At 40.9% G+C, this 14,376-nt stretch overlaps 1 protein-coding gene and 1 pseudogene across 4 annotated transcripts in view; one reads left to right on the top strand and one right to left on the bottom strand.

The window, feature by feature from the left end:
* XKRX (XK related X-linked) overlaps positions 1-14,376 on the top strand; it is a 72,428-nt gene that overhangs the window by 40,027 nt on the left and 18,025 nt on the right. For 3 of the 4 annotated variants that reach the window (XM_011530955.2, NM_212559.3, XM_017029517.2), the window contains one exon: positions 4,234-5,872. In XM_011530955.2, coding sequence (XP_011529257.1) covers positions 4,234-4,979 — 746 coding nt within the window. In that variant the 3' untranslated portion in view covers positions 4,980-5,872. Of the gene's footprint in view, positions 1-4,233; positions 5,873-14,376 lie in introns of those variants that run through there. The other variant, XM_011530954.4, reaches the window with a different exon arrangement.
* Positions 8,074-8,703, bottom strand: NSA2P3 (NSA2 pseudogene 3; annotated as a pseudogene).

Below are 14,376 nucleotides of genomic sequence, written 5' to 3'. Positions count from 1 at the left end.
TTCTTACAAAGGCCTATCACATCTCTCATCTGGTAGAACAATTTTCCCCAATCTTTTAAGTAGATTAATTTTCAAGATAATTTTTTAATTCATCCTACAAAAAACAAAGCAAAATAATAACAGCAAAAGAAAAAAACATTTCATTGAGATTCCGATTGAGATTTGCATCAAATTACTTAGGTTATTTTGGGAGAATTTACATCTTTATAGGATTGTTGGATTTCATATTGTGAAATGATAAATCTCTCCATTTTATTAAATATTTTAACATGTACCTCAGTAAAATTGTATAGTTTTCTTCAGTAAAGTTGTATAGTTTTCTTGCTATGAGTCTTACATTTTTATAAGGCTTACTTTCAGATGTTCTATCAGTTTTAAAATGACCTGATTTTCTAAGTAGCAGGATAGTATCCAGGTAAAGTAAACCCACCTACCATACTTTTGGAAATAGGGGGATGATGAAGATGACAAAGAATAGGAAGAAAGAGGAGGAGGGGGAGGAGGAGAAAAAGGAAAGGAAGAAGGGAAGAAGGAAGAAGAAGAAAGAAGAACACAGCTAAAAGAATTTACTAGGTTCTAGGCATTTCTCTAAGCCCTTTACATGTAAATGTTTATTTAATCTTTACCACAACCCTATGAGATAATTATCATTCTCATTTTACAGACGAAGAAACAGACGCACTGAGAGTTTAAGTATATTCCCCCAAGGTCCCATAAGCAAAGATTGGATTGGAATTCAGGGTGTTTGCCTCCAGAGCCTGTGTATTTTGTTCTCTTATGGCATGAGTGTATTTGTAGGGACACAGATTGAAAATGTTTTGACATTTATTGGAAGCATCAGGTTTTTTTCCTTCTGTTACACTACTAATCAATAAATGAGTTCTAATGTAAGGGAAAGCATCGCCACACAGCTGGATGTATGCTCTCACATTCCCAGTTACATAAGGTGCATCAGCTCTTGAGGATGGGACTGAGAATGGTTGAGAAAGACAAGAGTCACCACTTCAAGAGTCTCCAATTCCAGTCTCTGAGATTCCAACACTCTACTTAAAACTGAAGAACTCAGAGCTGTGCTTCCTTTTGGGTTTACATGGGGGAAATCTTAACTTTTCCTCCACTAAAAGTAAAAGATTAAGTTGACATCTCTATGGCCACCTTTTCCCTACATCAAGTGTTTTAATAGGAACAGAAAACTCCAGCTTTCCTTTTGGATGAGTATTCCTCAGCCATCCCACTTCTCTTGAGAGCACTGGATTTTTCTTAGTAATCAGCATCCTTTGACATAAAGGAAGAAAAGGAAAGGGCCACCTGTGTCATCTATAGTTGAGGCTTAGGTAGGTTAGGGAGCATCCTGGCTCTTTAGGGCCACTACTCTAACATATGGTTCCATGGATGTCATGGGTGAGGCAACAGGGTTTGGAAATTTTTGAACTACTCTGCTGCAAACTCAGAGATTCCTAACATATGGGGGTAATGAATTGACATTGCTGATGACAAATATAAGCAACTCTTGAGTATCTCAGTGAATTGAGAACTGAGGTACATAGATATTCAGTGACTTCCAAAAGTTCCCATACAGCTGAACCAAGGATTTCTTTCTTTCTTTCTTTCTTTCTTTCTTTCTTTCTTTCTTTCTTTCTTTTCTTTCTTTCTTTCTTTCTTTCTTTCTTTCTTTCTTTCTTCTTTCTTTCTCTTTCTTTCTCTCTTTTTCCTTTTCTTTTTCTTTCTTTTCTTTCTCTCTTTCTTTCTCTCTCTCTCTTTCTGTCTTCCTCCCTTCCTCCCTTTCTCTCTTTCTCCCTTTCTTTCTTCCCTTCCTCCTTACAGGCATGCACCACCATGCCCAGCTAATTTTTGTATTTTTAGTAGAGACCGGGTTTCACCATGTTGGTCAGGCTGGTCTTGAACTCCTGACCTCAGGTGATCCACCCACCTCAGCCCCGCAAAGTGCTTGGGATTACAGGTGTGAGCCACCGTGTGCACGGCTGGAACCAAGGATTTCTAATTAGTTTTATTTTTTATTTTTTTTCTTTTTGAGAAGGAGTCTCACTCTGTCACCCAGGCTGGAGTGCAGTGGGGCAATCTCAACTCACTGCAACCTCTGCCTCGTGGGTTCAAGTGATTCTCGTGCCTCAGCCTCCTGAGCAGCTGGGATTACAGGCATGCCATCATGCCTGGCTAATTTTTTTTTCTTTCTTTTTGAGACAGAGTCTCACTCTGTTGCCCAGGCTGGATCGCAGTGGTGCAATCACGGCCCACTATTACCTCTGCCTCCCAGGTTCAAGTAATTCTCCTGCCTCAGCATCCCAGGTAGCTGGGAATACAGGTGCACGCCACCACGCCTGACTAATATTTGTATTTTTAGCGGAGATGGGGTTTCATCATGTTGGCCAGGCTGGTCTCGAACTCCTGACCTCAGGTGATCCATCCGCCTTGGCCTCCCAATGTGCTGGGATTACAGGCATGAGTCACCGCGCCCAGCCTAATTAGGTATTTTATGCACCTCTCTAATCTCAGAAGTCTTCATTAATTCCACAAACATTTATTGAGCACCTGCTATGTTCCAGGTAATATGTTAGGCTATGGGAATACAGCAGTGAAGAAAACATGGTCCCTCCTGCCTTCATGGAATTTTCAATACACATTTTGACACATCACTGAAGCTAAGTGTTCTAGAAACACACAAACAATGTTAGTTCCTTGAAGAAGATATACATCAAAGAAGGGACTTCTATTAGCAAGAGCGTTCTCTATGAGTCTCCTAAGACTGGATTTTTTCAGATAGAGTTCTTTCCGCCTTATTCAATGTTTGCTCCGAAGCCTGCTTCATCAGCAAAGTCTGCCTGATACCTTTATATGTACTCTTCTCACGTTAGTGACTTCTCAATGTTCTAAGACCCATGCTTTTTAAGGAAGTTTATTTTGTATATTTATATGATTATTAAAGTGTTACAGTATATGTTCATCATGAGAAATTTAGAAAATAGAGAAATGTAGAGAAAAAGATTTCTAAAACTGATATAAGACTATCACACACAAAAAAAGATATTTTGGTTCATTTTTTCAATTTTTTGTGCATCTATTTTGTTTTATTGTATATATTCAAGGTGTACAATGTGATGTTTCGATGTATGTACACATTGTGAAATGATTACCACAACCAAACTAATTAACACATTCATCACCTCACATAGTTATCATTTTTGTACGTGTGTGTGTGTGTGTGTGTGTGTGTGTGTGTGGTAAAACTTAAGATCTACTCTCTTTAAAAATTTCAAGTACACAATACATTATTGTCAACTATAGTCATCATGTTGTACATTAGAGCTCTGAAACTTATTTATCTTATAACTCTAAATTTGTAGCCTTTGATCAAAATCCTTCTATTTCCCTAAATCCCCATCCCCTGGTAACCACCCATTCTACTCTGTTGCTAGGTGTTCAACTTTTTTAGATTCCACATATAAGTAAGACAATGCAGTATTTTTCTTTATGTGTCTAGCTCATTTCACTTAGCATAATGTCCTCTAGGTTCATCTGTGTTGTCACGGATGGCAGAGTTTCTGTAATTTTATGGTTGAATAATATTCATACACACACACACACACACGCACACACACACACACACACAGACACACCCACCAGATTTTCTTTATCCATTCATCTGTCAACAGATACTGAGTTTGTTTCCATATCTTGGCTATTGAGAATAATACTACAATGAGCATGAGAGTGCAGATATCTCTTTGAGATACTGATTTCCTTTAGGTATACACCCAGCAGTGGGATTATTTGATCGTTTGGCCGTTCTGTTTGTAATTTTTTTGGAGAACCTCCATGCTGTTTTCCATAATGGCTGTGTCAGTTTATGTTCCCACAAACAGTGTACAAGGTCCTTTTTCTTACATCCCCACCAACACTTTTTTTTTTTAATAATAGCCATTCTAACAGGTGTGAGGTGATATCTCATTGTGGCTTTGATTTGCATTTTTGTGATGATTAGTGATGTTGAACACCTTTTCATATACCTGTTGGCCGTTTGTATACCGCCTTCGGAGAAAGTCTATTCAAGTGCATGCTATTTGTTTACATAGCTGTGATCATATTTGCATTTGCTCTTAACTGGAGCTCTCAAGTCTCACCCGTCATCTCTCTGGACCTCTGGGTTATAAGTACAGCCTTCATTACCAACATTGACTGATTGCCTGTTTTTGTTTTTGTTTTTGTTTTTAACAGTTGTGCTAATGGTATTTTCCCTGGTATCTGTCACCTATGGGGCCACCCTTTGCAATATGTTGGCTATCCAGATCAAGTACGATGACTACAAGATTCGCCTTGGGCCACTAGAAGTCCTCTGCATCACCATCTGGCGGACATTGGAGATCACTTCCCGCCTCCTGATTCTGGTGCTCTTCTCAGCCACTTTGAAATTGAAGGCTGTGCCCTTCCTAGTGCTCAACTTCCTGATCATCCTCTTTGAGCCCTGGATTAAGTTCTGGAGAAGTGGTGCCCAGATGCCCAATAACATTGAGAAAAACTTCAGCCGGGTCGGCACTCTGGTGGTCCTGATTTCAGTCACCATCCTCTATGCTGGCATCAACTTCTCTTGCTGGTCAGCTTTGCAGTTGAGGTTGGCAGACAGAGATCTCGTCGACAAAGGGCAGAACTGGGGACATATGGGCCTGCACTATAGTGTGAGGTTGGTAGAGAATGTGATCATGGTCTTGGTTTTTAAGTTCTTTGGAGTGAAAGTGTTACTGAATTACTGTCATTCCTTGATTGCCTTGCAGCTCATTATTGCTTATCTGATTTCCATTGGCTTCATGCTCCTTTTCTTCCAGTACTTGCATCCATTGCGCTCACTCTTCACCCATAATGTAGTAGACTACCTCCATTGTGTCTGCTGTCACCAGCACCCTCGGACCAGGGTTGAGAACTCAGAGCCACCCTTTGAGACTGAAGCAAGGCAAAGTGTTGTCTGATTCTATTTTCTGGGTATTTTAGGAAGAGTTGGGAGTTGCCAAGAGTAACCATGAAATTGAACGAAAGGATGAGGTTCATGGGTGAGATACCCATCAGTACATTTTCTTGACTTTTCTGTTAAGCCTATCAGAAGAAAGAGCAACTCCCAAATAGGTTTTATTTTCTTAAGAGTTACCACTATGTTTGGAAACAGGGGGTATCGACTATATAGTTGAAAGGGTCAGAAATACCATTCACACCCTTCTTACCCAAGTCAATTGGAATAACTTGTCTTCAAACACTTTAGGCTCTCTAAAGTGACCTTCTAGCTCTGCTCATTTGCTTGATGCATTTCTGAGCTTTCCTGGGCTGAGCTGAAGGCCCAGAATCCCGCTAGAATATATCCTGACTGATCAGAGGATATGACAGCTTACCAGCTAAGAGTACCTCCCAGGAAACAGTCTGACTAATGTGGAACCTGCAACTGTCAGTGTGGCTGGGGTCTTTTTAATTCCAGTGAGAAGCTCTGGCTGAGAAGAAAATCACCACTATTAAAAAAGCTGCTCCCCAAGCAGATTAGCTCTCTGTTAGGATTTTACTAGTGGCCATTCAGCAAGGACCTCTCTTTACAGTGGCACTTCATAGGCACACTCTAAGGAGAAAGTGCAGAGTAGAATTCCTTCAGGGCATAAGCCAAAATGACTCTTTTTCTCAGGGACCTGCATGGGCCTCCAGCTTGTCTATTGGAATTGTTAAGTGAAGCCTCTCACTTAGTGCCTCATTAGCAGAGATTTCCTCCAACCCAGCTTTTCTGTGCTCTTGGTATTTTACTACTTGATGTGGACCTCAGAGAAGCTGAACTGTAATTGAAAATGTTTCCGATGTGTGGAAGAAATGAAGACTGCTTTGTGTCTGCTGTTGTCCTGAGTATTTCATTAATGTGTGTGTGTGTGTGTGTGTGTGTGTGTGTGTGTATGTGTATGTGTGTAGGGAAGAAAGTAATAATGGCTGAGACATCACCTTCATGTTGTTTGCGATTGGGATGGGTGACTAACACTCCAAGGTAGAGTGAAGGCAGAGGAGGGAAACAAGATCACATTAAATCATCATCAGTACTGGTTTCTGCCTACAGGAGTTTACTTTTTTTTTTTTTCTTTTTTGAGATGGAGTCTCGCTCTGTTTTCTAGGCTGAAGTGCAGTGGTGTGATCTTGGCTCACTGCAGCCTCTGCCTCCTGGGTTCAAGCAGTTCTCCTGCCTCAGCCTCCCGAGTAGCTGGGATTACAGGCGCCCGCCACCATGCATGGCTAATTTTTGTATTTTTAGTAGAGATGGGGTTTCACCATGTTGGCCAGGCTGGTCTCGAACTCCTGACCTCAAGTGATCCACCCGCCTCGGTCTCCCAAAGCACTGGGATTACAGGCATGAGCCACCTCACGCGGCCAGGATTTTACTTTATAACAAGGAACATATGTTTATCAACCCTCTGTTCGTTCCTATACCCCCAGTGGACGAATGCATGTCTCCTTTTCTCCTATATCTCAATGTTTACATCTCATATCAGTTGGGTATTTTGATAGGAATGTCAGCCAGCTACCTCTGAGGTAACCAAGGGATTGAAGTTACTATGGCCACTGCCTATTGGGACCAAATATCCCAGCATTTACCTAACTAATGCTTGCCCCTCACAGACCAGGAAAATTAAAAGAACTCCTAGTCGTGGCCACCACAACACTTCAAGAAATTGTGAACAATCTGACCTAGGGCTTCCTGTCCTCATCCAATTTTACTCTTGGTAGCATGCTAAGAATTTATCTTTAGTCATTTCCTCTCCTCTTATCCAATGTCAGGACATTATGTTGAGGGAGTTCTCTCTTCTAAGTAGCAGGGCTGTTAACCAAAGTATCTTATTTCTTGGCATGGCTAGCATGGTTTTCCCTTCATCAGCCACTGTTTGGGACTAAAAGGATTATATAACTTAATTTGGGAGAGACTGTATGGACTTGCTTTGGAACAGTGGAGAGCTCCTTTCTTCAACCCCAACTCCCCCATTCCATTTTTCATGATGAAGAGACTTAGTTATTGTCATATAAAGCTCACCTGCTGTCTTCTAACTATGTTATTCAAGGTGAGGCTTGAAAGAACTAATCTATCAGACCTCCAGAAGAACACATTACTTCTTTGGAATTCAAGCAAGAATTTCTCCCCAATAGTCACTGTACCCTCAAGTAAAATCAAGAGCAGCATGGAACAATAATTTGGTCCATAAAAGCCATGTGAATCAGCTACTTAAGGAGTGGGTGCTATGGAAACATATAGACACATACTGATCTAAGGAAGTCAATTGGAGATAAAATGACGCTACACAGGGCAAAAAGTGTGCCTCAGTACTGGACCAGGCAAAATTTTCCTTCTGTATATTCTCCCCAGCTTCCTCAGTGACTTAACATCCTGGGAATGCAGAGAGTTTAGGGGTGTGGAGTAGTTTCTGACCTGAAAAACCTGCTGCCCTCACCCAAGGAGAAAAGACTCTAGTGATACATTATGTAAATGAACCCTTAGAACTTCCTACAGATGGTGGCCTTTTGGTTCTGTAAAAATCCTCCAGATACACAGGAGAAGATGGAATTGTGAAATATGGTAGTGGGGCAGGGAACTTGCTCCCTTCCATTTGCAAACACTTTTAAAATTGACTACTCTCTTCTTACTTTCTGAAATCTTTTTTTAACCATTTTAATGTTTGCAATTTAATAAATCTCTTGATGATTGCAGACATATAAGGCTGTTTGGTGGTATTCAGAAACATCACAGTAATGGCAGTTTTTTCAATTGGTTTGTAGTCCTCAATAATTATATATTAAATTGCTGTCAAACCAGTAAGACTGCATTTATGCATCCATCATTTTCAGGATTGTTGGTAACCTGGGCATATTTTCCCCAAATAACTTTGCCTCTTTGCGTCACAAGTCCCAGTTTGCTCACATTTACCTCAATGACAGTACCTTTGGTAATAACACCCAAAGTTGTATACAGTGGGAATGAGGGATTCTTCTTTACACCAAGTATTGGTAAGCAAAAGGTGGCTTTCAGTTCAGGATGTGTTACATGGGCTTTCTTGAAATGCAAGCCCATTGGCCTGATGAGTCTTTCATATTTAGGTGGTTTTCTTATAAAGCCATCTCCAACAAAGCAGACTTTAGTAACCATCCTCTTCCATGCCTTCTTCTTTCTCTTTCCTGTTCGAATAACTTTTAATACTTTTGTTTCTCCTTGGGCACATACTTCAGGCAGAGGGACTTCCCATTTTCCCACCTTCTCTTTTCGTTTCTGTTTAATCATATTGGAAAGTACTGTAGCTCGAGATTGTGCCTCTCTGTCCAGCAGATAGGCAGGTACTGATCCCCGTGGAGTCTTTTCATTATTCTTGTGTTTGGTGTTTCTCTTTTCATGCATCTTGATAGTCTTTTTCATTTGTATTTTCTCAGCATGGCACGGTTTATGGTAAAGCTTAGCCTTCAGACCATCATTTTCTTTGCCTTCTTTGAACGTTCGTAGCCTCTCGACTTTCCTTCTTTCTCTTTTTCTCATGGTAATCCAAACGATATCCATAGCGTTTACAGTGTAATTCAATATATTCGTTCTGTGGCATGGTGAAGGCCGCAGAGTTGCCAGTAGCAGCCTCTGGGGTGCGAAAATGCTCTCAATTTTCAGGTCTCAGAGACCCACGAGCCGAGGCCGCACAGTCCTCTCTGAAATCTTTTTTTTTTTTTTTTTAAGACGGAATTTTGCTCTTGTTGCCCAGGCTGGAGTGCAGTGGCATGATCTTGGCTCACCGCAACCTCCACCTCCCGGGTTCAAGTGATTCTCCTGCCCTAGCCTCCCAAGTAGCTGGGATTACAGGCATATGCCACCATGCCTGGCTAATTTTGTATTTTTAGTAGAGACGGGGTTTCTCCATGTTGGTCAGGCTGGTCTTGAACTCCCGACCTCAGGTGATCCACCTGCCTCGGCCTCCCAAAGTGTTGAGATTACAGGCATGAGCCACCACCCCTGGCCTACTCTCTTAAATCTTAAAGCAACATAGGGTACATGTGTAGGGACAAGTCTTGCTGAGTGGAGAGGAGGCAGAGACAGGGCCAGAAAATGGTTTCTGGAAAAGGCAGACATAACTATGAAGTTTGGGGAAAAGAAGTAGGCCATTGTAACAACAGCTATTCTCATATTATTGGAAATTTGGTAGGCTAAGTATGGGCAAATTTGCATGTTAGGAAAAGAAATAAACTAATAGTTTTCAATTTCATTTGCTCCACAAGAACTTCAAAGACTATGGGCATAGGACTGTGAGGCACTGTGGGAGAACTAAATAATAGCTTATATTTATGAGCACCTACTATATTCCTGGCACGGTACTAGGTGTTTTATATGCTTTTTTTTTTTTTTTTTTTTTTTTTTTTTTTGAGATGGAGTCTCGCTCTGTCACCCAGGCTGGAGTGCAGTGGTGCGATTTCGGCTCACTGCAACATCCGCCTTGTGGGTTCAAGTGATTCTCCCGCCTCAGCCTCCCAAGTAGCTGGAATTACAGGCACCCGCCATCATGCCCAGCTGATTTTTGTATTTTTGTAGAGATGGGGTTTCACCATGTTGGCCAGGCTGGTCTTGAACTCCTGACCTCAGGTGATCCACTTGCCTTGGCCTCCCAAAGTGTTGGGATCACAGGCGTGAGCCACTGTGCCAGGCCTATATGCATTATTTCATTCGATCCTCACAACAACCCTTATGAGGTAGGTATTGTTATCTCCCATTTTACAGATGATTCTAAGGCATAAGAAGGTTAAGAGGCCTGTCCAAGGTCACAGCTAGTGTCAGAGACAGGATTCAGTCCTATGCCCTTAGGCTCCAGAGCTTATGCTCTTAATCATGGTACAAGCCTCTAAGTCCTCTTAGGTCCTTATGAAAGCATTTTAATGTGTTAGTGGTTTCAGCAGTATTTTCTGAGCTATGGTTGGGTTCATCCCAAACATTTTTTCCCCTTAAACACTCCTTATCAGGAGGCACCACTGAATTCTCTCTAGAGAGAAGTCCTAAAACGCCTGGGATGAAAGCTGAGCATATGCTCACATGTACTTATAGATTCGTACTGGGATAGTGAGGAGAAGGATGGTAGAGGGGCCCATTTCCTTTCTAATTTCAGGACATTAACTCCTGTATGCTCTTCCTTACACACCTTTCAAACCGTGGTTGTGGGAAGAAAACTGGAGAGGGCAGTTCCTGCTAAGGGTTGTATGAACTCTGACTCCAGGAACAACCAATCAGGCCAGTGCTGAAGCCCATTCCCTTCCACTTCATCTTGCCAGCACTGCTCTTACTCCTGCTAGGAAGCTGACTTCTAGTTCTAGAGCAGGCCAAGGGAAGTGGACAGTAGAGAATAGTGCCCCTCCCTAGAGCCTAGGTCAACCTTCAGTGCCCTTTCAGCTAGCCCCTTCATGCCTGCATCTCATATGGTCATGGTCCTTAACATTACAGAGTTTATTGTCATGTTCCAGGGTGGGGGTGGGGCAGGCATCTGTGGGGTAGGGTACTCACCAGGACTTTCCATCTAAGCCCATGGGGCTTTATATCTAGGAAATTCTTTAGTACATAATCAGCTGACTCTGCCCTGTGAAATACTTACCTACTTAAGAGTGGGAACCCTTGTTCTCTGAAGCCTTTGCTATTGGGCTGTCTTACTATCTTCAGAGGACACATATGTCCATAATCTTACCATGTCTTTCCTCCTGAAGGATTGGCACAATCAGTCACACACTTTAGACCTTAGAGCCTCTGGGGTACATAGCGGAAATATGTTGAGTCTTGGCAAAAGAACGTACACTGTGTGAAACTGGCAAGTAGTGAGGCCAACCTGTGTGAGATATGTGAACTAAGTATGAAAAGAACACACATTCTGGCCGGGCGCAGTGGCTCACACCTGTAATCTCAGCACTTTGGGAGGCCAGTGCAGGTGGATCACCTGAGCTCAGGAGTTCGAGACCATCCTGGGCAACATGGTGAAACCCTGTCTCTACTAAAATACAAAAAATTAGCCAGGCGTGGTGGCACGCACCTGTACTCACAGCTACTTGGGAGGCTGAGGCATGAGAATCGCTTGAGCCCAGGAGGTTGCAGTGAGCCGAGATCATGCCACTGCACTCCAGCTTGGGCTACAGAGTGAGACTCCGTTTCAAACACACACACACACACACACACACACACACACTCCATGCATGAAAATAATATCTGAATAGCACTTTATAATATGAAAAGCACATTTACATACATTATCTGTTACCAATGCATCATTGTTAGGATAAGCCCTCTGAGTTATACATATGGATTTGCATTGTTTTAACATTCAATTCACCAAGGATTAAGCTTTTATTTTTTGCCAAGAAAACCTATATGGATATCTCAAAATGCTGTGTAGATCCTGAAAGATTTAAAAATGAATTCCATATAACTAGTGTAAGAGATGTGGGAGATAAACAGTTACTCTCACACATTATTGGTATGAGTGTAAGATATTGATGTACATTTTGAAAGGTGATTTGTTAATATTTGTGAAAATTAAATTGACATGCATTGTGTCTCAGAATTTTAACCACCAGAAAATTTTCCTATGGAAACATAGTCACAATTACACGAAGAGTTATGCATAGGGGTGTTCATTGCCCCTCTATTTATCATGGTGAAAAACTGGTAACTTAAATTTTCATCTATGGGGAAATGACTAAACTGTAACAGTTCCATAATTGGAATACTATCTACCCATTAAGAGGAATGGGGTAGCTGCATACAGCATGTGCTGAATGAAAAGATAAGGGACAGGTCAGATGTGGTGGCTCACGCCTGTAATCCCAGCACTTTGGGAGGCCAAGGCAGGAGGATTGCTTGAACTTAGGAATCTGAGATCAGCCTGGGCAACAGAGTGAGACCGCAACTCTACTAAAAAGAAAAAGAAAAATCAGTCAGGCATGGTGGTGTGTACCTGTCGTCCCAGCTACTTGGGAGGCTGAGGTGGGAGGATCACTTGAGATCAGAAGATTGAGGCTGCAGTGAGCCATGATCGCACCACTGCACCCCAGACTGGGTGACACAGCAAGACCCTGTCTCAAAAACTAAAAAAAAAATTTTTTAAGTGACAAAAGCAAGTTGAAGAATAAAATGTCTAAGATGAGGCTATAAAAAATCATTCAAAATTTGGAAGCAAGAGTAAGACGGGAAGAATAATGACTACCCCTACTTAAGATCTCCATGTCCTGCTCCTCAGAACCTGTGAATATGTTATGTTACATAGCTGGGGGAATTAAGGTTGCAAATCAGTTTACCTTGAAATAGGGGAGTTACCTTGAATTATCCAGGTGTGCCTGGTGTAATCCCAAGGATCCTTATAAGAGAAAAGGTGATGCGAAGATGGAGGCAGAGAGATTTGAGGATGCTATGCTGTTGGTTTTAAAGATGGAGGAAGAGGCCACGAACCAAGGAATGCGAGAAAGCAGCTTCAGAAGCTGGAAAAAGCATGGAAATATTCTCTCATAGAACCTCCAAAAGGAACATGGCCCTTCTGACATGGCTGTTTCAGCCCTTGTGAAACAGATTTCTAACTTCTGATCTCCAGAACTGTTAAGAGAATAAATGTGTGTTGTTTTAAGCCACCTAGTTTTTGGTAATTTGTTACAGCAGCACTAGGAAACAAATACAAAAGGAAAGATGACTACTTGATGCTTTAATGTCATGTTAAGATAATTTTTTTAACAGGCCTCTCTGAGGGTCATCTGACTCTCTAGGTCTAGATAATTGCAATTTAACACAATTGATGAGATTCCAGTGATTTTACAATTCTGTAAAACTGGCAAGATGCAGTGACATTGTTTTCTGTCCACCTAAAGAAGACACCACAGGGAGAAGGGGAGGGATGAATAAGTGGAGCACAGAGGATTTTTCAGGGCAGTGAAATTACTCTGTAGGATACTACATTGGTGGGTACATATCATTACATATTTGTCCAAACCCATAGAATGTACAACATCAAGAGTGAACCTTAATGTAAACTATGAACTTTGGGTGATTATGATGTGTCAATGTATCTTCATCAATTGTAACAAATGCACTACTCTGATGAGGGATGTTGATGAAGAGGGAGGCTATGCACTTGTGGGGGGAGGGGATATATGGAAAATCTTCCTACCTTCCTTTCAGTTTTGCTGTGAACCTAAAACTGCTCTTAAAAGTAGTCTTTTTTAAAAGAAAAACCTGGAATATAACATTATTGGATGAAACAATCAATTATGTTAATATTGACAATTGATTTAATAGAACTGTCTTGGCTCTAAAATTGTAATTTTAAATGCATCTTTGTAGAAATGAAACTATATCTTAAACTATATGTTCATTAAATTATTTTTTAAAAGACACCACTATTTTGGTTCTTATTGCCCTGTAGAACATTAACCAGCTTTGATTCTAATTTAGCAATCTTATTTTAGCATTCCTTTGGTGTTTTTACTGACTATATATAAAATACCTGTTTTCATATCCTCTTTTGAGTTGGCTGCCACCTTACTGGTTTCCTCCTCAATGAGTTAAATAAATCTTTGATACATATGAATTCTCTATTTGTATGAAACTTATGTTTATTTGTTTTAGATTTATTTTGAGAATCATATGTTAACAATGATCCCATTTTTGTAAAATACAAAACCAACAATATGGGGGGGTAGAGGAAAATGTTTCAAGCTTTTTTCAGCAGTTCTGTTTGGGAAGGTGGGAGAGAATACTAGAGATTTCTCCTGTGTTTAGTGTTTTGCAACATTTAGATTTTGTATAAATTTACACGATATTTGTAATCAGAAAAATACATTGCTTTAAAAAGTAAATATGTATGAAAATGATTCACACACAGTGTGTGCCCTCAACAAGTTTAAGATCTGGCTAAAGATAGAGACATGCTTCATTCAACTAAATAGAAATACAAGGCCAGTTATGATAGATGCCTTTGAAGGAAGAGGGCTATCATCTGTTGAGTGCTTATGAGATACCAAGGGCCATCTTGGATCATTAATATAGATTCATTTTATCATCACAATGACTCTGTGAGGTAGATTCTGTCTCTCTTTTTCATATAAAAAAGCTGAAGCTGAGAGTAACTTGCCCACGGTCACACAGCTACTAAGACAAAGAGCCAGAATTTAAGCCCTGGTCTTATTCCAAAGCTCATATTCTTTCCATTTTACTATACTACCTCCCATAGATGTTGGGACCCATGGTCTGGACTGGGTAGGACTGAAGTCAGTGAGCATTTTATACTCATTGTTGGTTCTTTAAATTGGGGCAGATCTATTCATACATCACACAGAAAACAGGCAAAAGGCGTCTGTTTCCAATAT

Source organism: Homo sapiens, chromosome X (assembly GCF_000001405.40).
Source record: "Homo sapiens chromosome X, GRCh38.p14 Primary Assembly".
NCBI classification, from domain to species: Eukaryota; Metazoa; Chordata; class Mammalia; order Primates; family Hominidae; genus Homo; species Homo sapiens.
The sequence above is the reverse complement of the archived record's forward strand: the minus strand, read 5'-3'. Positions and strand labels throughout refer to the sequence as shown.